Below are 27,936 nucleotides of genomic sequence, written 5' to 3' on the forward strand. Positions count from 1 at the left end.
ATGCTTTCCAAGAGTTTGTCGAATCCTGAAGCATGGATTTTTACACTATGGGAATAAACAAACTTATTTCTCCTTGGCAAAAATGTGTTGATTGCAATGGTTCTTATTTTGATTAACAAAGATGTGTTTGAGCCTAGTTATAATTATTTTAAATTCACAGCCCAAAACCACAATTACTTTTGCACCAACCTAATGCATTAGTAGTTTAAAAGGGACTATGGCAAGTAAAGCATAATTAGAGAATTCATGTTACTAGCACTTATTAATGCTTTGCCTGTAATGTGACATCTCTCAATTATAGTATCTTTCAAAGAAAATTCCTTAGCCTAATTATATTTGTGTATTAGAAATCAGACATTGTGACTGATATTATAGTCACATAAAATGTCTAGCAGTTTTTAAACTCCATTATCACAACTAGAAAAAGTAAACTAGAAAAAGCAATGTGATTTGGTAGATTCCCATTATTATATTCCCCAAAGTACACAGAATAAAATTAGAGTTAGTATGTACAGAACGTACAGACACAGAAGTACAAACTGTCATGTGTATTTGAGTGAGAGGAGAAAATTATAGATATTAAATGGAGTGAAGTTTATATTATACACTGGTCCAGAAAATCAAACTGTCAGTGGTCAAAGAGTAACATGAAAATTACAGGGCTAAAAGCAGTCATCGAAAGTAGGATAAGTGTAGATAAAAGAATTAGGGAAATGGAAGGAAGCATAAGCATATAACTGAAGGAATTAACTATTCAGTAGCTTAAAACATAACATGAAGACAACAGCAATTGTTCATTATTTCCAGCAGAAGATGTGCAAGCCAAAACACTTTTGAAACTTACGACAAGGGTGTTTATTTTCTAAATTTCAGGCTTTTAGATTTTTTACCTAAAGAAAAAGAAGCTTCCATTGGCTACTAGGGAAAACATTCTGTTACAAATAATGTGTCCCATAATACTTTAGAGTAGCTTGTTTCGTACCACTTGAGAAACATTGGTGATTGCTAGAGATCTGCACCACTGTTTTATCACTTCCCCTACAGGATGCTGAAATTCCCACAAATTCAAGCACTCCCTGTAAAAAACCACAATCTACCGGGTACAGGAAGAAAATATTAGATCTACTTGCCTGAGGCTTTAAAAAATCTCCTTCATTATCTCTATTTTAGGGATATGTTTCATAATGCACATAATAGATCAGTAGTTCATTATCATCATGAATAAATAAATATATATAATAGCGTACACCATCAAAAATGTCTGATGTAGAGTTAGCCTTGGAAGGGGACTAAAGTTTCATTCAGCTCTAGAATTATAGCTCTAACTGTAATTTATTATATGCTAGATTCTTTAGATACTTTATCTTCAATCTCCATAACAACCCACCAAAATAGCAAGCACAGAATATCTGTGTTCTCACCAAGTGAGAATAAGTCAGTTGTCCAAGGTCACAGGGCAGAGTGGGATTCAAATGCAGGTCTGACTCCAGAGCTCTTCTTTCTACACCATTGCCACTTCAAACCTTACCAAAGGATTCACAATAGGTTGATTTTAAGTGGCAAATTTCTGTAATGACATCAACTCCATTTTTTTAAAAAACAAAAATCTGATTTATGCAGAACATTTTATGGGACATATCAATTTACATAACATGAAACACACCATCCTATGCACACTACAGCTTTGATTTACTCCTCCCCTTCCACTGAGATAGAAGAATTTTGAAGTGGTAGGGAAGAAGCTAGCACTACAGCCTACTGCCTCCAAAAGAATTGTCCATGTGGTTTTTGGGGCATGGAGGGGAAGCCCATCGGATTCATAGAAGACTTATAAGGTTTTTAAAAGTGTTGTGTTGAACAAAAGCCACTAGCTTGGGTTAAAAGAAATTGAGACAGTTCAAAATGAGAAGAGGCCTCTGGGCCTCCATCTTTCTAGGAATAGGAGACAGCATGAGAAAGCTACTCAGTCACAAACATGGGCCATTTCTTATGTAAAAGGAAGGACGACTCAGAAGGCAGAGCCAAGCCCAGAGGGTATTGCCAAGAGCCAAATAGAACAATATATTAAGGAACCACTTCCGGAGGGTAGAACTGGGCCCTAATTAATAAACATTGCCTGTCTCTGTAGTAGAGGAATCTTCCAACATGCACCTGGCTAGATTTCCAAATTGCCATGGACCAGTGACTAGTATATCTCTCCTTTTGGGACAGCAGTGTCTAATATAGTTTTGCTGTCTTTCCAGTGTACATTGGGTATGTGAAGGCATAGGGGAATAACTTGTCTTTTTAGTTTACAGGTGCCTGAATTAAAGAACTATACCTAAGGAACTTCATCGACATCTTGACTTCATACAGACCATGAGATGATGGATTCCGAGCTTGATGATATGATAAAGTGAGACCTGGGCAATTTTGGGAGGATGAGATTCATGAAAGAGACATGAATCGTTGAGGCCTAAGGGTGGACTATTGTAGATTGTTACAACAATGGCCCCCAGGGAATCACAACTCCTTGTATTCACATCGCTTTGCAGTGTGACTTTGCCCAGTCCTCCCATCAGGAGATGGAGATTATTTTTTCCCACTCCTTATGTCTGGGCTGCCGTTTTGACTTTCTTTGACCAACTGAAATGTGGCAGATGACACTTCAAATTCCAAGGCTAGTCCTTAGGCCTTGCAGCCTCCTTTACCTTCCTGGGGCAATGCTGTGAGACCACCATGTCCTGAAGAAGCAAGGAATAATAGACCATGTGGACAGAGAGGCCCAGCCATCCCAGCTGTCTCTGCTGACCACCAGCTGCATGAAACTGCATGAGAGTGAGTCCAGATGAGATCAGTGAAAAGCCACCCAATCAACACACAGAATTATGAGATTATGAGGAGTAATAAATCATTGTTGTTTGAACTCACTAAGTTTTGGGTTGTTAATGCAGCAATTGACAACTGAAATGATTCTGTGTTTTCAGCCTATTAGGACTTCTTGATTCAAAAATCTCAATTCTCTGAAGCTAAGGTAGACCAATAACTAATGACAAAATAAATCATACAGAATATAGTCCTAGCATTGAGAAAAGGATTAGAAGAATAAAATATCGACCAGGCACAATGGCTCATGCCTGTAATCCCAGCACTTTGGGAGCCTGAGGCAGGCAGATCACAAGGTCAGAAGCTCAAGACCCACCTGGCCAACATGGTGAAATCCCATCTCTGCTAAAAAATATACAAAAATTAGCTGGGCATGGTGGCATGCACCTATAATCCCAGCTACTTGGGAGGCTGAGGCGGGAGAATTGCTTGAACCCTGGAGGCAGAGTTCCAGTGAGCCAAGATCACGCCACTGCACTCCAGCCTAGGCAGCAGAGCAAGACTCCATCTCAAAAAAAAAAAGAAGAGGAAGAAGAAGAAGAAAATATAAAAAAAAACTCTCTATTATAGTTCTTACCAGATCTAATTTCTCATGAGAGTTTCAAAATGCTTTAACTCCTGGCTTCACCATTTATTTCTCTAGTGTAGACTCACCTCCTTTTTGTCCCTGGTGTTGTCTAACTCCATTCAGTTCACTCACCTACTTAACTTCCACGGACTATTGTTCTGTTCATCAACCCTTGCTAGCCAATATCTTGACTTCTCATTCTCTCTTATATTCTTTCTCATTTCCTTGAAATATTTGGCAGTTTCCCAATCTAAACAATCTGGAGCAGCAAAAAAAAAAAAAAAAAAAAAAAAAAAAATCAGAGTAACAATAGGCCAGGTGCGGTGGCTCACGCCTGGAATCCCAGCACTTTGGGAGGCCGAGGTGGGCAGATCACCTGAGGTCAGGAGTTCGAGACCAGCCTGGCCAACATGGTGAAACCCGTCTCTACTAAAAATACAAAAATTAGGCAGGCGTAGTGGCATATGCTTGTAGTCCCAGCTATTCGGGGGGCTGAGGCAGGAGAATTGCTTGGACCCGGGAGGTAGAGGCTGCAGTGAGCTGAGATTGAACCGCTGTACTCCAGCCTGGGAAACAGAGTGAGACTCCATATCAAAAATAAAAAATAAAAATAAAAATGAGAATAACAATTAAAAAGCAAAAAAACCATTTTCCCCTAACTTCACCCTTGTTACCAGAGGCCTGACCCTAATATTTGCACACCCTAGAGTAGGAATACAAACGGCAGTCCACCTTCTATATGCCTAAATATATATATTTTTTTCCTTGAGATGGACTTTTGCTCTGTCACCCAGGCTGGAGTGCAAAGGCACCATCTCAGCTCTCTACAACCTCTGCCTCCTGGGTCCAAGCGATTCTCCTGCTTCAGCCTCCCGAGTAGTTGGGATTACAGGCACGTGCCACCACTCCCAGCTAATTTTTTTTTGTATTTTTCTTACAGATGGGGGTTCACCATGTTGGCCAGGCTGGTCTTGAACTCCTGACCTCATGATCCACCCGCCTCGGCCTCCCAAAGTGTTGGGGTTACAGGCATGAGCCACTGCACCCGGCCTGTATGTCTAAATATTTAAATGTCATCAATCAAGCTAACAGTCAAAGAAAATATGTTCTATCCCCCTATTTTGTCAAATATATCTTTATTAAAAACCTGGGAGGCCAAGTTTGAATTTGGAGTCTTTGCAATCCTTGCTTTTGTGTAAGAAATTGTCAGCATAGGAAGAGCCAGCCCAAGGACCCCACCCCACCCCACCCCCAAATGCAACCTGCCCTTTTTCGTTGAGCACATTGTAAATGTGTGGTGTGCTCTGCTATCTGCTATCTCTTCATTTTTTTTTTTTTTTTTTTTCTGAGACAGAGTTTCGCTCTTGTTGCCCAGGCTGGAGTGCAATGGCGCAATCTCAGCTCACCGCAACCTCCGCCTCCCTGGTTCAAGCGATTCTCCTGCCTCAGCCTCCGGAGTAGCTGGGATTACAGGCATGCACCACCACCCCTGGCTAATTTTGTATTTTTAGTAGAGACGGGGTTTCTCCATGTTGGCCAGGCTGGTCTCAAGCTCCCGAGACCTCAGGTGATCCATGCGCCTCGGCTTTCCAAAGTGCTGGCGGCCATCTCTGCTTCTTAATAGTCTTTTTTTTTCCTACTTTACATTCTTGAAATCTAGCTTTTAACCTTTTCACATAGATAACTTCTTTCTCAAAGGCCAGTAATGACCTCTTTTTCTTGTCTCATTCAATGACATCTTCCCCCAGACATATTTGCTTAGCTTTACAGTCTTTCTTTTTAGACGCTGTTGTACACCAGCTTCTGTGACGTTATACTATCTCCGATATCCTTCTTCCTTCTAACCCCCTATTTGAGAGTTTCTCTTTTGTTTTGAGTCTCCTAATGATTTTGTATTTCTCAGTGCTCAGTCCTCACCTCTTCTCTCTGGCATGATGTGAGGGTTGAGCTGGGCCAGTGGGGAGTTTGGAGTGGACAGCTGTGGGTGCAGGAGGTCAGGAAGTAGGAAGGGATACTGATTCCCACATAGGCTGCCACTTAAGAAGTAAAGCCCTGGGAATCACACTGTGATGAATGGAAAGCAGAAAAACACAGGTAACAGGAGAATCCAGAGAAGACACTCATTCAGGCTGACAGAGGTGAGACAAATAGTAAGAGGTCAACCTGGCAACGAGGATGATTCTAAAACCTGGGACTAAGTTTCGAGAGCAGGTCAGGCTGGGAATAAATGACTAGAAGTGTGCAGACAGTAAGTACCAGAAATGGGGAGAAAACTGGTGATACATAGAAGAAGAGAGATGATTTGCACTACAAGGGCCCAGAGAAAATTCTCCCAATGGGATTTTTGTTGGGTGAGTACTTAGTTTTCTGAGGAAAGCACAGCGTAAATCAGACCCAGTCATTTCATGCCTGCATTCATACAATAGCCTCCTAATATATTTAATTATAATTGTTCTCATTTTAATCTAATTTCCGTCTACCCTTAGAATAATTTTCCCTAAGTACTGTTTTCATCAAGACACCCATCTCCTTAAAAACCTACAAGTCTTTGGTCGGGCACAGTGGCTCACGCCTGTAACCCCAGCACTTTGGGAAGCAGAGGCGGGCAGATCACGAGGTCAAGAGATCAAGACCATCCTGGCCAACATGGTGAAACCCCATCTCTACTAAAAACACAAAAATTAGCTGGGTGTGGTGGCATGCGCCTGTAGTCCCAGCTACTCGGGAGGCTGAGGCAGGAGAATCGCTTGAACCTGGGAGGCGGAGGTTACAGTGAGCCGAAGTTGCACCACCACTGCACTCCAGCTTGGGTGACAAGAGCAAGATTCTGTCTCAAAAAAAAAAAAAAAAAATCACTGATCACAGACCACCGTAAGAGATACAATAATAAAGAAAACTTTTGGAATATTATGAGAATTACCACATGTGACAGAGACACGAAATGTGCATATGCTGTTGGGAAAATGGTGCCGATAGACTTGCTCAACACAGGGTTGCCACAAACCTTCAAATTATAAAAAATGCAGCATCTGTGAAGTGCTATAAAGTGAAGGGCAAGAAAACAAGGTACGCATGTATGACTCTAGGTTCTTTATTAGTTTAATTTGTGAGATGCTTATTTTTGGACATCATCAATTGGTGTTTGTTTTCTTCTTCTTCTTCCTTCTTGCCTCTTCTTCTTCTTCTTCCTCTTCTTTCTTCTTTCTTATTTTTTGAGGCGGAGTTTCGCTCTGTCGCCCAGGCTGGAGTGCAACGGCACAATCTCAGCTCACTGCAACCTCTGCCTCCTAGGTTCAAGCGATTCTCCTGCCTCAGCCTCTTGAGTAGCAGGAATTACAGGCGCCCATTACCACACCCAGCTAATTTTTCTATTTTTTAGTAGAGACGAGGTTTCACTGTGTGGGCCAGGTTGGTTACAAACTCCTGACCTCAGGCAATCCACCCACCCCGGCCTCCCAAAGTGCTGGGATTACAGGTGTGAGCCACTGCGCCTGGCCACCAAATGATGCTTAGAAATAGTCATTTCATATTTTCTTATTTAACCATGTGAAGAAGTTGGATAAATTACTAAGTTATTTTACCTCCCTGAGCCTCAGTTTTCTATAAAATGGGAATAGAAATACTGTTCCTACCTTTTGGAGTAAGTGTGAAGACAGAATAGAATCAAAGTTTAAATTGTTTGGTGTTTTATTAAATACATGGCACTTTAATAACAAATGTAAGTTCCTCTCTCTTTCTCTGTTACCAGAGACCTGTCTTTTTTTTTTTTTTTTTTTTGAGATGGAATCTTGCTCTGTCACCCAGGCTGGAGTGCAGTGGCACAATCTCAGCTCGCTGCAATCTCTGCCTCCTGGGTTCAAGCGATTCTTCTACCTCAGCCTCCTGAGTAGCTGGAACTATAGGCACGGGCTACCATGCCCAGCTAATTTTTGTATTTTTAGTAGAGATGGGGGTTTCACCATATTGACCAGGCTGGTCTTGAACTCCTGACCTCGTGATCCACCCGCCTCGGCCTCCCAAAGTGCTGGGATTACAGGAGCCAGCCACTGTGCCCAGCCAAAACCTATCTTTTTAAAGGAAGTAGCATTAGCATCTGTGAGAAAAGTACTTCCCTTACTGAAATAAAGTGAAGAAGCTACACTTTGTAAGCCATGGAAGAAGCAGCTCCTGCTGAACTTTACTTTCTCTCTGGCTTTTTCTTGCTCTGATCACTGCTCCTACCCCCTTTTCCTTGAAACCTCTTTTCTTGGTTCCCCTTACCACATGTAAAACTGACTGGCATTTTCAAAACAGATTTAGTAATTCAAGAAAGAAGAAAAAATATTTAAAAGGCACAGATACAGTCCTATATACACTGACAGATCTCTGGTTATAATATCTCAACTGCCTTCTGCCTGGTCCCAGCTCATTTCTTTTCCTGGTAGAATTTCACAAGAACCTTTCCCTACTTGCAAGGGGAGTGCCATCTTACTTTCAACCATATGGGGGCAACTTTCCTTAACAACTGGTTCTGTCTGGCATTAAGGGCAGGAATACAAATTCTAACTGCCACTCACCTAAGCTCTTCCCATTCTGAAGGACACAGCTTTTCTCTTCTCCAGAGCTGTGAAATGAAGAGGGTGACGGGTATTATTGCCCCCCAACCTCTATGCTCTGAGAACACCTTGGTTCCCTAGAGAGCCATCTCAGTCATATAATAATTGTAACATCCATACAGCAAGAATTGCATATATATGAGGGATAGAAGGGAGCTATTCCATTCCTCTCTTAACAGAAATGATTTACAATCATTATTTCTACATAATTAGACCAAACCTGGATATTTCAAGGTCTCTAAATACAAATACATTTTGATGTATTTTTATATATTTGGTAATAGGCTAATGGCTTAGTTATATAAATTAAAATATAGTAGATGTTCTGAAAGTCTGTAATTTAGTGTCAGTGTCTTGAAAAGATATTTCGTAGTCTTTTATTCTCTCTTCCTCATCATTTCCTTCTTCAAGTGCAAAGATAGCAAAATTTCCATAAAAACTAAAGTTACTGGGGACTAGGTTTTTATTTATTCTTTTCTGGAATAGTTCCGTTACTTATTTTAATTTTTATGAAGTTTAACTGAGTAGAGAAGGCCAAATAACTCAGCTTTGCTGAGAATATTCCTTCCAGAAGCCTAATTACCTCCTGTAGATACAAGTAAAGAGCTTAACAGCAACCTTGAAGGATAGTTGAATAATTGATGCAATGTGCCTGGCACAGTGCCTGGCACAGTGCCTAGCGCATAGCAAGTGCCTAATAAATGTTATTCTTATGATTAATTCTTCATTAGGTGAGAAATAATTTTGGAGAAATGCAAATTATAAATGAGAGTATGCGGTGGAACATATTAACTGATGACAATATTAACTGATGGTTTTTCTTGGTACTTCTCTGTACCTGTGGCCTTTTCCCAATTTAGTCAGTGAGTTGCTCATTGCTTCAGAAAAAAATAATGATGTGGTAGAAAGAAACGAATTTTCTTGGCTGTTGGAGGAAAAGAAAGGACTTACAATCTGGACAACAGAATAAATGTAGAATAACTGGGATATAACATCAAAGTAACTGCAAGGCTTTCTGTGCTCTCTTCCCAAAATGAGAAAACATTCCCTGGACTAGGAGTAGGGAGAGAGCTAGAGAGGTGGTAAAGAGAAATTAACACTACAATAGCTCGACATTAAATGTATTAGCTTGACATTAAACAGAAATTACATTCCAATGTTGAAAAAACTGTTGTATTTCTTGCTTGCTCAAATGTATGAACTAAAATGTATAATGGATATATTGACTTAGTTAATTCTATTCATACAAAGTATGAAGGCTTTGTTAATGGTGATTTTAAGATGTGATTATGTCCTCTAGAAATAGGGCACTAAAGCTTTTAAGCTTAGAGACACACAGTGACTTTAGTTGAAAGGCTGAAATTTTGCAATAGATAGAAAGTTTCCACTTAGGGTTGTGATGAAGAGTGGAAATACTCAAACTACTTGTTTTGTTGTCACTAGTTGAAGTGGCTGAAATATGATTAAATAGGCAGCAAGGTGGCCTGAATATATTCCTGTCATTTCTAAGTCCCAATGTCCCCACAAACTAAATCATTATTTCTCATGTGCCCCCTCCCAAGTCACCTTCCTTTCTCCAATATTCTGCCCCTGTCAAGGGGATCATCACTTTCTCAAGCTCCAAATCTTCCATCATGTTTTACTCACTCCATGCCAACATCCCCATGAACAGGTAAAACATTGTTGTGTTTTGTTTTTCTTTGAATTGCACAGTCGTGGGTGGGGAGTGGGAAGAGTTATTCTCAGAAATAAATGAGATCATGGATGTGAAAGTGCTTGACATTTGCTAGGCACTCAGTAAAGTTTCTTTTAATTTCTTCTATCTGACAATTTAAGCCTTTGAATAATCCAATCTTATTTTTCTTAGCCAATTTATTTCCCACTACACCCTGCTCTTATTGAAGTGGTAGTATCCTCCTACCCCATATGTACATTCTACTCATTCTCACACCCATGTATTTTACTTATTTGTGCACTTCTAATTTGGAATGCTTTCCTATTCTTTTCCGAATATCCAATTGTTATTCATCCTTCCAGGACATGTCTTTCCTGTTTCAACATTAGAGCCAGATGCCTACCATAGTTCCTGTCCTATAACAGATTCTTAATACATATCTGTTAAGTGACTAAATAAATTTGCCTTCCTACCTGTAGGTCTCACTGGATACTACTGCCTTCAATGACCCATCATCCGTTCTTGGTACATCTTCAGGAAGTGGTACTCCCTTGTCACTTATGTTAGCACCCACTCATATATTGAATTTTATTCTACGGATTGTAAGATCTCTGAAGAAAGTGCTCCATCCTCTTTTTTTTTTTTTTTTAAAGTTTGCCTCTAGCACCCTGCACAGTTTCTTAATTAAAAATGTTGTTTGATTAAATACTTTTATTATAACACAGCATGTCATTCTGCTGCTGGATCTAAAATTTAACCAAACTGCCTTTTAAGTTACAATAGAAAACTTAGAGTCAAAGAATCGCAAGTTTGGAATTGTCTTCTGACATACCGTGAAATAAAATCCAGAATCTCAAGGTTGGAAGACAGTTGTCTCTGCAACAGTGGTTGACATTTAATTACTAAATATGGATAGACATTTATGATGTTTTTAATTATTTTGCCATGACAAACAATACTGTAAGGGATAACCTTGAACATGTTTCCTATAAAACATGTATAAGGGTTTGTTAGGGTGGACAAGAAGAAGTAAATTTGCTCATTTGAGAGGTAGTATGCTCATTTTAAATATTAATAGATAATGCCAAATTGGCATTCCAAAAAGCTACCATTCTACTTCCACACTTAGTATACGTATGTTATATATAATACTGCCATGGCCGGATGCAGTGGCTCACGCCTCTAATCCTAGCACTTTGGGAGGCTGAGGTGGGCAGATCACCTGAGGTCAGGAGTTGGAGACCAGCCTGGCCAACATGGTGAAACATTGTCTCTACTAAAAATACAAAATTAGCCAAGCGTGGTGGCAGGTGCCTGTAATCCCAGCTACTCGGGAGGCTGAGACAAGAGAACTACTTGAACCTGGCGGGTGGAGTTTGCAGTAGGCCAAGGTTGTGCCATTGCACTCCAGCCTGGGTAACAAGAGTAAAACTCCGTCTCAAAAAGAAAAATACTGTCACACATATTAATTAATAGAAATTAATATTCCTATATATATTACTATATATATTATATATACTATATCTATTACTATATAGGAATATTAATTTTTTCTCACCATAACTGGCACGTTTCAATTTTTTTCAATGTATTGTGATAATACTGGTGTCTCACTGTTAATTTTCATTTGCATGATTACTGGTACAGTTAACCATCTTTTCACATTTGGGAGCATTTATATTTCCTCTCTAAGGAACTGACTGTTAGGTCATTTGCCCATTTTTCTATCAGGCTCTTTTTTAAAAAAAATCTTTAGGAATTCCTTATATGTTCTAGATGTTATTTGATATGGTGTGTATGTTGTAAATATATTCTTCAGTCTGTTTTCAGCCTTTTAACTGTTTATTGTATCCTTTTCACCATAGAGGTCTTAAATCCTGAAGCAGTGAAAATTATCCATTCCTTCCTCACTTATAACCTTTTTGTTTGTGTTTTGTTCAAGAAGGTTTTCTTACCAAGCATTTGAATCTATATTTTAATGTATTTCCTTAAACTATTTTTATAGTTTTGTTTTTACAATGTACTTTTGTTTTGTTTTGTTTTGTTTTGTTGAGATGGGGTCTCACTCTGTCATCCAGGCTGAAGTGCAGTGGCACAGTCTCAGCTCACTGCAACCTTCACCTCCCAGGCTCAAGCAATCCTCCCACCTCAGCCTCCTGAGTAGCTGGGACCACAGGCATGTGCCACCATAGCTAGCTAATTTTTTTTTTTTTTGTATTTTTAGTAGAGATGAGGTTTCACCATGTTGCCCAGGCTGGTCTTGAACTCCTGAGCGCAGGTGATCCACCCACCTCAGCCTCCCAAAGTGTTGGGATTACAGGCGTGAGCCACCGTGCCTGGCTACAATTTACATTTTTAATCCATCTGGATCATTTTTGTGATTCGTATGAAGTGGGATCTACCATTTTGTCCTAAATAAATGGACAATTTGTCACTAGCAATCATTACAATCCATCTCTTTCCTATTACATTTTAAAACCTTCTTTCAGGTACTAAATTCTTATTCATACACTGGTCCATTTTTTAACTCTCTGTTCTGTTTTCCTGATCTACTCCTCTATTCTTCTGGCAATACCCTAATTACTGTATATCTAATTACTGTATATTTATAATTGCATATTTTACTATCTGGTTGAGCAGGAACTTCTCTGTGTGTGTGAGGACACACACACACACGCCCTCTATGTTCCTCTTTGTGAAACTTATCTTGGGAATTCCGGCGTAATTTCTTTTCTAGATAAATTTTAGAATAAGCTTGTCAGATTCATTTAGAAATCTGTTGATATTTTGACTGGAATTGTTAATTTACAATTGATTGGAAATGTTAATTTACAAAAACTTGGCATATTTGCAACACAGATTCATTCAGATGTACAGCTTTAATTTATTCACGTTTCTTTGTTTAATGTTCTCCAGATACACTTTAATTTTTATTCCTTGGGTATTTTACTCCAGCTTCATTAAATTTATTCCTAGCTATTTTATAACATCTGTTGCTACTGTGAAAAGGATTTTTAAAAAGAAATCTCTGTGATTGTTGTATTTCTAAAAAATAAAATAAGCCTTTATTTAGATTTATCATAAGTCTTAAAGGTTACTTGGCTTACCACTGACTTCCAGTCTTCTCTTGGATTCATTTTTCATTTTGCTGGAGCATGTCTTCTAGCTATTATTTCAGCTAGGGTTTGTAGGTGATAAATTTTCTGAATCCATTCATGTATGAAAATGTCTCATGTTTGAAAATGTCATTACACTTGTTTGATTGTCAGATTATAGAATTCTAAGTTCAAAATCATTTTCACCTCAGTATTTTAGAAAATATTTCTCTAGTGTCTTCTTATACTCAGTGTGGCTAAAGAATCTGAAGTCAAGAGGGTGCTTTTTGTTTGTAAATAACATGTTTTTCTCTTTAGAAGCTTTTAGGATTTTCTCATTATCCATAAAGTACTCACATTTTACCACTATTTTCTATGAGCGGGTCTTTTCCCAGTGTTCTTGCTTGGCACAAAGTGGGCCTTAATGTGAAAATTTGAGTCTTTTTTCATATCTAGGGAATTTTATTTGATTTATTTTTCCTCTGAGTTTTATTTTCTCTTTCTGGAAATCCTATTGTATGGATATTGTAACGTTTGTATGTATCCTCCAAGTGCCTTAACCTTTATTTCATATGTATCACCTCCCTGTCTGTTTGTATTATGATGTGAGGGAATTTCTCAGTTTGATCTTGAGCACCCAGGTTGCTCTTCAGCTATGACAATTTTGCTATTCAGCCTTAAGGTTTTCACTTTTGCTATCAGATATTTCATTTCTAAAATATCTTTTTTCTTTCATTAAAACCTGTTCTTGTTTCATGGATTAAGTAACCTCTCTAAATACATATTATGGTATTTTATGTTTAAAAGTCTTCAAATGTTTGCTTTTTAAAAAATATGGAATGCTTCACAAATTTGTGAGTCACCCTTGTGCAAGGGCCATGCCAATATTCTCTGAATTGTTCAAACTGTAGAATATGTAAGCACTGCTGAGTCCTAATGTCCTCGTGTTAGGCTTGGATTTTCCGTTAGCCTGTCTGTGAATGCTATAACGAATTATCTCAGCTTTCTACCAGTGACTTTGTGGGTATTGCAGAGTGTGCTATCAGAATGTAACAAGAGCTAGTCTTCTAGGAATAGAGACTCCATGAATATCACTAGCCATTTGCAGTAGCATCCTATGTCTCTGGCACAAATGCCGACCACAAATGCTCCCACCTAATGGCGATTTGTCTCTTTTTGCACTTATTTTTGACTATCTACTGCACACTTTATTAGAGTGGATTCTTTGAGGCCTATGATGAAGTTGTCTTTCCATGGAGAAAACATGAATTTACTTTTGCCAGGTTCCTGATGTTTAACCTAGGTGCCTAGATCTAACCTTAGATCTAGTTCTAGGGTTGGGGTGCCTGGGAATCCCTAAGCAATGTAAACCCAAGCTGTGAGGGCTGGCACATGACCACACAATTTCTCAGAGATATATATTTTTCTTTTTCTTTTTCTCTTTGCTCTGCTAAAAGTTAAGTCCTGCTGATCCCTGGACTTGGGAAGGGGTAGTGTGCCCTTATTTTAAGAGTATAGCATTTTCCGTTGAAAAGGTCTCTTATTATACTTCTCACCTTGGACGGGTCTAGAGTATTGGATTCTATCTTCTTTGTGTGGCCATTAAAACTAATGTCTACACTTGTCTAGCACAGGGGCAAAAGCTGCTTTGATGTTCAGGTGCAGGGCTGGGGCCAGGATGGGGCAAGTCCTGGCTCTGCTCAGGGGCACTTGTGCTTACTTCTCTAGATTCTAGATTTTCCCTAGATTTTTTGTCTGGTACTTCACTGTCTTCTCAACTCTCTGATGCATTTAAGAAGTTTGTATTTTACATGTATCATTTTATTTCAGTGGGAGGGTTGGTCCAACAACCTAGTAATCTAGCCTTTCCTAAGTCTTGCCCTTTCCTCTGTATATGGTGGTAGTGGCGGTTGAGAGGGGAGTAGGGGTCAGAACTGCTAGGCTGCTCCTACTGCTTTTTATTTTTTTTCCTTTTCTCTCTCTCTCTCTTTTTTTTTTTTTTTTTTTTTGAGACAGAGTCTTACTCTGTCCCCCAGGCTGGAGTGCAGTGGCATGATCCTGGCTTACTGCAACCTCCGCCTCCTGTGTTCAAGAGATTCTCGTGCCTCAGCCTCCCAAGTAGCTGATATTACAGGTACCCACCACCATGCCTGACTAATTTTTGTATTTTTAGTAGAGACGGGGTCTCACCATGTTGGCCAGGCTCCCGACCTCAGGTGATCTATCCGCCTCAGCCTCCTGAAGTGCTGGGATTACCGGCATGAGCCACTGCACCAGGGCTCCTTCCTTTTTTTCCCTGAACCTACTTGTACATCTTTCCTAGAAGTATTCTCTTTTGCACATTTTGGGCAAAAGTTTTCTCTTTGAATTCAATTCCACCGATTATTTTGTCTCTTGGGAATTCCTGATGATTTCAAAGACACTCCTGCTTGTTTCCAGAGTTAATGTTTTCTTGTTTTTTTCTCCCTAAATCTCTCAATCATGGAAGCTGCAGGGTGTAAATCATTTTATCCAATCTCAGAATATTCTCTTCAATCCCAGCATTATAATCTTGGTTCCAAGTCTGTGGGGACAGGCTTAAAGAAGTCATAAGAACCAGGTTTTTTTTACTACATTTTATGGGCTGATAAATGATATAAATAAGACTAGATGACTATAGTAAATAAATGGAAGAATCCAGTAAAATTAGAAAATCTATAAAAAACTGATTGTCACTATTAGAGTTTATATAATAATCATACTGCCAAAACAACTGGTTGAAAAGCAAATAGCTCAATCAATCACCTGGCTGTTTGTTCTATATGAAAGCAAACATATGTATATTACATTTAAAAATATTTGGATGATTGATTGAATTTTTAATTTTTCATCTGGCTGTTTAATAGTATGCACAAACAGCCTGAGGCAAGTAAATATGATTGTGAGGAAAATACGCAGCACAGTCCTTTGGAGAATTCAAACTTAAAATAACAGAGGTAATACAGAGTAAACGCCTTTGATTCCCACCACAGAATTCAGGTCCTACTAAACTCTGTTCTTCAGAATTTTAAATATCTATAAATTTAGAATAATAAAAACATTTGAATGACCTACTCCACAGGTTTTGGGAATGTATTTTACAAAGTATAGCATTACATGTATGTTAACTACTATTTAATTTTATAAGTGCTTCTGAGCATCTACTAAATGCCAAGTTCTACAATGAGCTAAAGGAGATCTAAAAGGCAAGTACAACACAATCTCTGTAATCACGTAGTTAGCAATCTGCTAAGGGAGTTAAAAACTAACTTAGTTATGAGACTTTGATGCATAGGACAATAAAGGCACAATGTGCTATTAGGAAGGGGTTGGGAAACTTTTGTTTTGTTTTGTTTTTTGTTTATAGAGACAGGGTCTTACTATGTTGTCCGGGCTAGTCTTGAACTCCTGAGCTCAAGAGATCCTCTTGCTTCACCCTCCCAAAGTCCCAAAGTGCTGGGATTACAAGCATGAGCCACCAAGGTTTTTTGTTTGTTTGTTTGTTTGTTTGTTTTGAGACAGAGTCTCGCTCTGTTGCCAGGCTGGAATGCAGTGGTGCCATCTCTGCTCACTGCAACCTTTGCCTCCCAGGTTCAAGCGATTCTCCTGCCTCAGCCTCCCGAATAGCTGGGATTACAGGTGCATGCCACCACACCCAGCTAATTTTGGTATTTTTAGTAGAGACAGGGTTTCTCCATGTTGGCCAGGCTGGTCTCGATCTCCTGACCTCGTGATCCACCGGCCTCGGCCTCCCAAAGTGCTGGGATTACAGGGATAAGCCACAGCACCCGGACTGTTTTTTTTTGTTGTTGTTGTTGTTTGTCTGTTTTTTTAAAGAGGAAGTAGAACTTAAGATAGACCTTAAAAGATGAACAACATACTATACTTTAGATTTATGGCGGTGATGGGGAAGAAGATCGGATGACAGCCCACTCCTGTTGACAGATCGTCTGAAGAACAGATTGAGAAAGACATGGAGGTGGGAGAGTTAGCTAGGTATACTGAGTAGCTAATAGTTTGAATTGGTTGAAATAAAATACGTGTGTAGCTAAGACAAAATAGAAAGGAAGCTAGGATCTAATCACATAGGATTTTGACTACTGGACAAGACATTAGACCTTTATTCTATATAAAGTGGATGTCTCAGCAGGAGAACATAATGAGGATAGATTTGGAGTTGAGGAATATTATTTCTGGCAGTAATGTATGTGGATAAGAGAAAAGCAAGTTAGAAGTGCATTAGTGTAGTTAAAAGATACTAAAATGAGATTTTAAATTGAGACAGTGAAAATGCATAGATGGGAAAACCCCTGAGGACGTAGAATTGACAAGATTTGGTAAAAGAATAAGGGAATGAATAAATATAAACGATTAGGAGATTCTGGTTCTAGATTTAGCTTTGCAAGATGACCCGGGAGAAGCAATTTCACCATGGTGGGCCTCAGTCTTATCTGTAAAAACACTGAATTAAATGATACTTAGGGGAATTAGAACTGTATAATCATGCAATTTGGAGTACTTGAGAACAAGGTGAGCAGGGAAGGATAGTTGATGCCATTAACAAGAGAAAAAACACAGGAGGAAGTAACCTTGAAAACAAATGTTGATTTAAGGAATCTGCATACATTGTTCATGATCATCATGTAGCTGGATATGCTGGTCTAGAGATTAGAAGGAGGGTATGAGATATAGACACACATGTAAACAAAGTTGTGGGGCTTGGGTGAGAGCACAAGAAGCATAGAATATGAAGAGCAAGAAAGCCAAGCACCGAACCTTGGGCACAGCATTTAAAAGGTGAATTGAGAAAGACAAGCCCATGAAAGAGCCTGAGATGGCTATACAGAGGAAGAGGGAAAAAGAAGATGGTGAGTAATGTCACATGGTGCACAGAAGTTAGCAGAAAGAACAGCAAGAGGCCGCTGGATTGGTAATCAATGAGCTGTTGGCGTTCTTTGAGAAAGCAGTTTCAATTGATGGGGGGATAGATCTTGGGATCCATTAGGAGCAGGTAGAAGGCTAACACTGGCAAACAGAATTCTTGGGATATACATAAAATGGGAGAGACTTATGAACCCTTATGTGCAAAAAAAAGTGGAGTGGAATTGGGAAGAGTGATTCCTGTCAGACAAAAAGAACTCAATGAAGCTGAGATAAAGCTGATGCATGAGTATTTATGTGTTCTGCAAGGGGGTCTGTTCCCCTAGCTCTCCCCAGGCCGAAGACTGTCCTCTCTCCAATAAGTGCTACCCTACTGAATAGATCCAAAAAGTAGTAGTAATTGTTTGATACAGAAACCTTTTAGATCTGTATACTAAAAATTATAAAAATTTGATGAAAAAAATTCAAGGAGGCATAAATAAATAAAAAGATATATTCATGGATTGGAAAAATTAATATTGTAAAAATGTCCACATTACTCAAAGCAATCTACAGATTCAATACAATCTCTATCAATATCCCAACATCATTTTTCACAAAAATAGAAAAAAAACAGCCATTAATTTTGTGTGGAACTACCAAAGACCCCAAATAGCCAAAACAATCTTGAGCAAAAAGAACAAAGCTAGAGACATCACACTACTTGACTTCAAAATATATTACAAATCTATAATACTCAAAACAGCATGATACGGGACTAAAAACAGACACACTGACCAACGGAACAGGATAGAGAGCTCAGAAGTAAACTTACGTATTTACAGTCAATTGATTTTCAACAAAGGTGCCAAGAACACATGATGAGGAAAGGACACTGTCTTCAACAAATGGTGTTGGGAAAAATGTATATCCACTGCAGAAGAATGAAATTGGACCCTTATCACACAAGGCATACAAAAATCAACTCAAAATGTATTAAAAACCTAAACACAATAGAATAGCTCTATTATCAAAAAGACAAAAATTAACAAATGCTGGCAAGGATGTGGAGAAAAGGGAACATTTAAACACTGTTAGTGGAAAGTAAATTGGTACAGCCATTATGGAAAGCAGTATAGAGGTTTCTCAAAAAACTAAAAATAGAATTACCATATGATCCATCAATCCTACTACTATTTATCCAAAGAAAAGGAAATCAGTATACTGAAGAGACACCTGTGCCTCCATATCTATTGCAGCACTATTCACAATAACCAAGATATGAAGTCAACTTAAATATTCATCAACAGATAAACGAAAATATAAAAATATAAAATAAGTATACAAATAAAAAATAAAATAAAAATATACACAATGAAATATTATTCAGCCATGAAAAAGAATGAAATCACCAGGTGCGGTGGCTCACGCCTGTAATCCCAACACTTTGGGAGAGGCCAAGGCGAGTGGAACACTTGAGGTCCGGAGTTTGAGACCAGCCTGCCCAACATGGCAAAACCCCGCCTCTACTAAGAATACAAAAATTAGCCAGGCATGATCGTGCACGCCTGTAATTTCCGGTCACTTGGGAGGCTGAGGCACAAGAATCGCTTGAAACCAGAAGGTGGAGGTTGCAATGAGCTGCGATCATGCAACTGCACTCTAGACTGGGCAACAGAGTGAGACTCGTCTCAAAAAGAAAAAAGAGAAAAGAAAAAAAGAATGTAATCGTCATTTTTGCAACATGGATGAGCCCAGAGGACATAATGTTAAGTGAAATGTCAGGCACAGAAAGACAAACGCTGCATTTTCTCACTCATATGTGGAAGCTGAAAGAATTGAGCTCATATAAGTGACAGAGTAGAATTGTGGTTATTAGATAATAGGAAGGATGGGAAGAGAGGAGGATAGGGAGAAGTTGGTTAATTGATACAAAAATACAGCTAGATAAGAGAAATAAATTCTAGTGTTCTATGGTACTATAGGATAAATATGGTTAACAACTTATTGCATATTTCGGAAAAGCTAGAAGAGAAGATTTTGAATGTTTACAACACAAAGAAATAATAAATGAGGTGCTATGCTAATAACTGATTTGATCATTACACATTATATATATGTACTGAAGTATCACTCTGCATCGTTGATGAAATTGATGCATGATTATGTATCAACGAAAAACAAAAGAAAAAATATTCAGAAGACATACATTCAAGGCTGACAAAAATATAACTTTATTTTCCTGAAACTGGCACTTAATCTCTGTGTTGGGCTACATATTGGCACAATGGAAGAAAATTTAATCTAGTTACTTACAAATAAACCCAGTCACTTTGTCATTTCAAAAAAATAAAAAAGATTTAAGCATAAGACCAGAAACTCTAAAAGTACTAAAAGAAAATATAGAGGAAAAGCTTCATAGTATTAGCCTGGGTAGTGATTTCTTAAATATAACCCCAAAAAGCATAAGCAACAAAATGAAAACAGACAAACAGAATTTACATCAAACTAAAAATCTGTACAGCAAAGAAAACAATTAATAAATTGAACAGACAACCCATGAATTGGGAGAAAATATTTGCAAACCATACATTTGATAAAGGACTAGTATCTAAAATATATAAGAAACTCAACTAAATAGGAAGAAAACAAACAACTTGATTAAAAAATGGGCAAAAACCCTGAATAGACATTTCTTGAAAGAAGACATACAAATGGCCAACAGATATATGAGAAAATGTTCAATATCACTAATCATCAGGAAAATGCAAATTAAAATCACAACGAGATATTGCCTCACACTTGTTAGAAAAAAGATGAAAGATGAGAAGTGTTGGTGAGGATGTGGAGAAAAGGGAAATCTTTTTTGAGACAGAGTCTTGCTTTGTTGCCCAGGCTGGAGTGCAGTGGCGTGATCTCAGCCCACTGCAACCTCTGCCTCCTGGGTTCAAGCTATTCTCCTGCCTCAGGCTCCCAAGTAGCTGGGATTACAGGCATGTGCCTGGCTAATTTTTTTATTTTTAGTAGAGATAGGGTTTCACCATGTTGGCCAGGCTGGTCTCAAACTCCTCACCTCAGGTGATCCACCTGCCTCGGCCTCCCAGAGTGCTGGGATTACAGGTGTGAGACACCACACCTGGCCAGAGAAAAGGGAAATCTTATACACTGTGAGTGGGAATATAAATTGGTACAGCCATTATGTCAAACAACATAGATAGAGATTCTTCAAAGAAAAGAATTGGCATATGATCCAGCAATCCCCCCTCTAGGTATATATCCAAAGGACTCGAAATCAGTATGTCGAAAAGATGTCTGCGCTCCCATATTCATTACAGCATGATTTACAATAGTCAGGATATGGAAACAACCTAAGTGTCCATCAATGGATGAATGGATGAAGAAAATGTTGTATATATATACAATGAAATATTATTCAGCCTTAGAAAAAAGGAAATCATGCTATTTGCAACAACATGGATGAGCCTGGAGTACATTATACTAAATGAAATAAGCCAGGAAGTGAGAAAGAAATACTTCCTGATCTCACTTATATGTGGAATCTAAAGAGTTGAAACTCATAAAAATAGAGAGTAGAGGCTGGGCCCGGTGGCTTACGCCTGTAATCCCAGCACTTTGAGAGGCCAAGGCGGGTGGATCACCTGAGGTCAGAAGTTTGAGAGCAGCCTTGCCAACATGGTGAAACCCCGTCTCTACTAAAAATACAAAATTAGCGGGGCATGGTGGTGTGCACCTATAGTCCCAGCTACTTGGGAGGCTGAGACAGGAGAATCACTTGAACTCGGGAGGTGGAGGTTGCAGTGAGCCGAGATCGTGCCATTGCACTCCAGCCTGGGCAACGAGAGCAAAACTCCACAACCCCCCTAAAAAAAAGAAAGAAAGAAATAGAGAATAGAATGGTGGTTATCAGAGGCTGGGGAGGGGGGTGTGGGGAATGGGGAGAGGTTGGTCAAAGAGTACAGTTTCAATTAGATGGTAACAATAAGTTTTAGATGTTGCACAGCATGGTGACTATAGTTAATAACGTATTCTGTATTTCAAAATTACTAAAATAGTAGATTTCAAATGTTCTCACCACAAAAAATGGTACTTATATGAAGGGATGGATATGTTAATTAGTCTGACTTAATCATTGCCCAACATATACATATATCAAAACATCACATTGTGCCCCATAACTATGCAATTAATATTTGTCAGTGAAAAAAATACAAAATCAGAAACCATTCAGACAAGTCTAAGATATGAAGATGTGAAAAAGCCTTATAACTTTCAGGAAACTCACAAAAGAGAAATGTGCTTTTTTACTGATCCCTCACATAACACAGTTATCAAACTTCTCTCTTGCAGTCATCAGTCCTGTCATAACACCTGGTCTCTCCTGCTTCTTTTCAGGGAGAGATGCTCCAGATACTTGCAGTTTGTCTTTTCCCTGGTTACAGGTACAACATGAAAGAATTTAATGAAAGCAAAGGTAATTTAGAAATTCTCAATTCCATAGGTTATTCAAAATAGCACTGGTAGAAGCAAGAACATTTCTGAAGCAGCAGGATATTTCCTGCTTCTACTGCTTAGGCTGCAGCTCCTCTGCAACATGTCCAGGGCTTGGTCTTTATGTGGCCTCCTTCTGGACCACACAGGGACCTAGACATGACTGTGAGGCAACTGCTTTCTGGACTCTGGTTACTGTGAGATTGATGAGCTATGTGCCCTTTTCAACTGGGATAGAGAGCTGCTGGATAGGTGAGTGTCTGAGAGAGTTGCTATTAACTTTTTGTTGTTTTGCTTTGCCTTTCTAATCACAGAAGTGTATGATAGGAGTTACTACTAGAAAGAAATAGATGGGGCCAGCCATGGTGGCTCATGCCTGTAATCCCAGCATTTTGGGAGGCTGACGCAGGAGGATCGTTTGAGCTCAGGAGTTCAAGACCAGACTGAGCAACACAGCGAGATCCTCTCTCTCCAAAAAATACAAAAATTAGCCTGGCATGGTGGTGCATGCCTGAGGTCCCAGCTAGTTGGAAGGTGGAGGTGTGAGGAATGCTTGAGCCTGGGAAGTCGAGCCTATAGTGAGTTGTGATCGTGCCACTGCACTCCAGCCCAGGAGACAGAATGAGACTCTGCCAAAAAAAAAAAAAAAAAAAAGTATATTCCGAGACAGTAGCAAGTTCTATCATTGTAAACAAAAAATTAAAAAAAAGAAAAAAGAAAAAATTGTTTCTAAGAGAGATGTAAATAAATAAATAAGAAAGAGAAGAAATAGATGGGAGACAGGACCCTGGATGATCTAGAGCCAGAACTCCTGGCAATGCCTTTTCTCTGCCTCAGTGATATATTTTACACTACCTTAAAGCAGCAGCAGGCCAGGCACGGTGGCTCACACCTTAATCCCAGCACTTTGGGAGGCCAAGGCGGGTGGATTACAAGGTCAGGAGACTGAGACCATCCTGGCCAACATAGTGAAACCCCGTCTCTACTAAAAATACAAAAATTAGCTGGGCGTGGTGGTGAGCACCTGTAGTCCCAGCTACTCGGGAGGCTGAGGCAGAAGAATTGCTTGAACCCAGGAGGCGGAGGTTGCAGTGAGCTGAGTTCACGCCACTGCACTCCAGTCTGGGCAACAGAGCAAGACTCCATCTCAAAAAAAAAAAAAAAAAAAAAAAAAGCAGCAGCCAAGTTGATAGAGTGAAGAGAGAAAAAAACACATGATTAGTTTAACATGATTAGTTTTCCTTCCATTTTTCTAAGCCATATACTTTGGGATGGACTGTTCATTCCTTCCATCATTTTCCATCACTATTTCACTCTGAGGATTTACCAAAAGGGAAATAACTCAGTAACTTTTTAAGAATTTCCCTAGGCGAACGTAGAGTCAGGGACAATTGAATAGTTATGTCCCCCTCAATAATTTTATATAGGCAAAATCAAAATACAATGAGTATCAAGTGAAAAAATGAATAAAAAGGCAACATGCAAGCTTGCAAGGTGTATCTGAATGAAAAAGGGCAGACCTGTCTGTTTTGCCTTGAGAAATAGGGTAGAGGGGCAGAGAGAGGGAAAAAAAGTGAGGTTAAGGGCTAATTTTACCTATGAATCTTAGGTCTTTTAGCACTAGCTTTTGTTTTTTGTTTTGTTTTTGTTTTTGTTTTTTTTTGAGACAGAGTTTCGCTCTTGTTGCCCAGGCTGGAGTGCAATGGCACGATCTCAACTCACTGCAACCCTCTGCCTCCCAAGTTCAAGCGATTCTCCCGCCTCAGCCTCTGGAGTAGCTGGGATTACAGGCATGCACCACCACGCCCAGCTAATTTTGTATTTTTAGTAGAGACGGGGTTTCTCCATGTTGGTCAGGCTGGTCTCAAACTCCCGACCTCACGTGATCTGCCCGCCTGGACCTCCCAAAGTGCTGGGATTGTAGGTATGAACCACTGTGGCCCGCCAGCACTAGCTTTTAAAAAATAACTGTTTTCTCTTCCACTAACTCCTTCCCTGGTTCTCTATACACCCACAATTAATGAACGATCTATTGATAGCTAGAGTCTGATCCTGAACACTGCCACAATCCAGGAAGAACTCTATAATCATTATGTCTCTACTTTCTCTCTTCATGTTCACTTTTACCAATTGAAATCAGATTCCTTTTTTTTTTTTTTGAGTTGAAGTCTCTGTCACCCAGGCTTGAGTGCAGTGGCGTGATCTAAGCTCACTGCAACCTCTGCCTCCTGGGTTCATGTGATTCTCCTGCCTCAGCCTCCTGAGTAGCTGAGATTACAGGCACATGCCACCACGCCTGGCTAATTTTTGTATATTTAGTAGACATGGGGTTTCACCATGTTGGCCAGGCTTGTCTCGAACTCCTGACCTCAGGTGATCTGCCCGCCTTGGCCTCCCAAAGTGCTGGGATTTCAGGTGTGAGCCACCGCACTCAGCCTTGAAATCAGGTTTCTGTTCATGCTTCTCCACTGAAACTGTCCTGGAAACATAAAAATTCTCAAGCTATTGAATTTCATGGTCACTTGCTGACTCATTCCCCATTCTCTGTGGCATTTGGCATTGTTGGCAATTTCTATGTTCTTAGTACTCTCTCACCTTGGACTTCCGTGATAATCTCTTTAGCCTTGATATCCATCAACTCTTCTCAGTTCCCACTGCTGTTGCTATAGTTTAAGTCTTCATTGTTTCTTGTTTGGACCATTCAATAATGTCCTACTAGTTACACTGTCACCAGAGTTATACAGTGACATCCAATCCTCTACTGCCAAAGTCTCTCTCTTTCTTTCTCTCTCTCTTCCTCCCTCCCTTCCCCTCCCCTCCCATCACCCTCCTCTCCTCTTCTTTCCTTTTTTCTTTCTTTTTTGCTAAAGGGCATTAAATATTTGCTTTTTTTGCTATTAAATATTTTTTGCTTTTAAATTTTTTTTGCTTTTTTCATTTTTAATTAACATATAATAATTGTACATATACGGAGCACAGTGTGATATTTTGATACATATATACAATGTGTAGTGAACAAATCAGGGTAATTAGCATGTTTCTCACTTCAAAAGTTTATCACTTCTTTGTGTTTGGAACATTCAAAATCTGCTCTTCTAGCTATTTGAAAATATACAATAAATTGTTGTTAAATATAGTCACCCTATAGTGCTATAGAACCCTAGAACTTATTCCTCCTATTTAGCTATACTGTTGTATCAGTTTAACCAACCGTTGGATATCCCCTCTCCCCCAACCCTCACATCTAGTAGCTACTATTCTACTCTCAAAGTCATTTTTCTAAGGCATAATTCTATTCATGTTCTTCAAGGAGTAAACCTGAAATGACTACCCATTGCTCCCAGGATAAAGCCCAAACTTCATAGCCTGTCATACAAAGTCCCTGCCTACCACTCCAGCCTCATAAGTTGCTTCTTACATACTACACCACAGCAAACTGATACACTTATGTATAGACAATGCTCTTTCATTCCTCTGTGTCTTTGGTCCTTTTTTCTGGCCTGAAATGTTCTTGTTCTCCCTTGCCTGCTTGGTGAACACTCACTAATCTTTCAAGATTCTGTCTATGCCATTTCCTTTGTGAAGCCTTTCTGACTACTCCACACACCATTAGAATTGACCTCTCCCTCATTCTGTGCCCTACAGTACCCTGTAAATGCTTCTGTTTTATTACCTACAACACTTTATAATTTATTCATTCAATATTTTGGTTTTCCTCTTCGAGACTCTAAGCTGCTCAAGGATATGGACTGTTCTTAGGTATTCTTATATCCCCAATACTCCTGGTGTATAACTTTCATTAAAGATTTATTTTCTCCCTCTACAATTCAATGGCCTTTAGGATATTCACAAATTTATGCAAACATCCCACAATCACAGAACATTTTTCATTACCCCAAAAAGAAATCCTGTACCCCTTAGTCATCATTCCCCAATTGCCCCATACCTCCCAGGCCTAGGTAACCAGTAACCGACTTTCAGTCTCTGTGCATTTGCTTATTATGGACATTTCATACCTAGGAAGTCACATGATATGTGGCCATTTGTGTCTACCTTCTTTTGCTTAGCATGTATTCAAGGTTATCCATATCATACTTCGTTTGTTGTTTTTGCTGAGTATTCCATTGTATGGATATACCACGTTTTGTTGATCTGTTCATCAGTTGCTGGACATTTGGGCTAGTTCCACTTTTTGTCTATTATGAATAATGCTACTATTTATGTGTAAGTTTTTGTATGGAAATGTTTTCAATTCTCTTGGATATATACCTAGCAATGGAACTATTAGATCATATAGTAACTTTATGTTTAACCTTTTGAGGAATTGCCAGACTGTTTACCAAAGCATTGCAACATTTTAAAAAAAATTGAGGTGAAATCCATATAACATAAAATTACCCGTTTTAAAGTGTGCAATTAAGTGACATTTAGTGCATTCCCAGTGTTGTACAGCCATTACCTTTCTACAGTTTCAAAACTTCATCATCCCGGAAGTACACTCTGTACCCATTAAGCAGTCACTCCCCATTCTCCCCTCTGCCATTCCCTAATCCAGTAATCTGCTTTCCATCTCTATGAATTTGCCTATTTCAGATATTTCATAAAATAAGAACCATATAATAGGCAACCTTTTGTCTCGCTTTTTTCATGTAGCACAATTGTTTTTGAGGTTTATCCAAGTTGTAACACCTATGAGCACTTCATTTTTTTATGGCTGAGTAATATTCCATTGTATGTATATTCCAATGTATATACCACAATTTGTTTATTTACTCATTTGTTGGTCAATATTTGGGTTGTTTCCACCTTTAAGCTCTAATGAATAATGCTTCTATAAATATTTGTGTACAAATTTCTGTGTGAATATTATGTTTTCATTTCTCTTGGTTATATACCTAGTAATGAAATTAATAGGTCACATTGTATAGGTTGGTGCAAAAGTAATTGTGGTTTTCTCCATTACTTTTTATTTTTTTGAGACAGAGTCTTGCTCTGTCACCCAGGCTGGAGCGCAGTGGCGCGATCTCGACTCACTGCAAGCTCCGCCTCCCGGGTTCAAGCCATTCTTCTGCCTCAGCCTCCCGAGTAGCTGGGACTACAGGTGCCCGCCACAAGTCCAGCTAATTTTTTGTATTTTTAGTAGAAACGGGGTTTCACCTTGTTAGCCAGGATGGTCTCCATCTCTTGACCTCGTGATCTGCCCACCTCAGCCCCCCAAAGTGCTGGGATTACAGGCGTGAGCCACCGCGCCCGGCCTCTCCATTACTTTTAATGCCAACACCGCAATTATTTTTGCACCAACCTAATAAATCTATATTTCACGTTTTAAGGAACTGCCACACTGTTTTCCACAGTGACTATACCATTTTATATTCCAACCAGCAATGTGTGAAGGTTCTTGTTTCTCCACATCCTTCCAAAATTTGTTAATTTACTGTTTTTTTTTTTTTTTTTTTTGTTGTTGTTGTTGTTTTGTTTGGTTTCTTTTTGAGACAGAGTCTTGTTCTGTTGCCCAGGCTGGAGTGCAGTGGTGCGATCTCGGCTCACTGTAACCTCTGCCTCCGGGGTTCAAGCGATTCTCCTGCCTCAGCCTCCTGAGTAGCTGGGACTACAGATGTGAGCCACTATACCCAGCTAATTTTTGTATTTTTAGTAGAGACAGGGTTTCACCATGTTGGTTGGCCAGGATGGTCTGGATCTCTTGACCTCGTGATCCACCTGCCTCAGCCTCCCAAAGTGCTGGGATTACAG

At 39.2% G+C, this 27,936-nt stretch overlaps 1 protein-coding gene and 1 pseudogene across 22 annotated transcripts in view; both read right to left on the minus strand.

Annotated features, from left to right (window-relative positions):
- Positions 1-27,936, minus strand: part of SEL1L2 (SEL1L2 adaptor subunit of SYVN1 ubiquitin ligase) — a 146,087-nt gene that overhangs the window by 110,443 nt on the left and 7,708 nt on the right. The window contains exon 1 of one of the 22 annotated variants that reach the window (XM_024452003.2): positions 3,566-3,650. The exons of the other annotated variants lie outside the window; for them this stretch is intronic. The gene's annotated coding sequence lies outside the window, so the exon portion shown is untranslated. Of the gene's footprint in view, positions 1-3,565; positions 3,651-27,936 lie in introns of those variants that run through there. 22 annotated transcript variants of the gene reach the window in all.
- RNU6-278P (RNA, U6 small nuclear 278, pseudogene) lies at positions 13,627-13,735 on the minus strand (annotated as a pseudogene).

Source organism: Homo sapiens, chromosome 20, assembly GCF_000001405.40.
Source record: "Homo sapiens chromosome 20, GRCh38.p14 Primary Assembly".
NCBI classification, from domain to species: domain Eukaryota; kingdom Metazoa; phylum Chordata; class Mammalia; order Primates; family Hominidae; genus Homo; species Homo sapiens.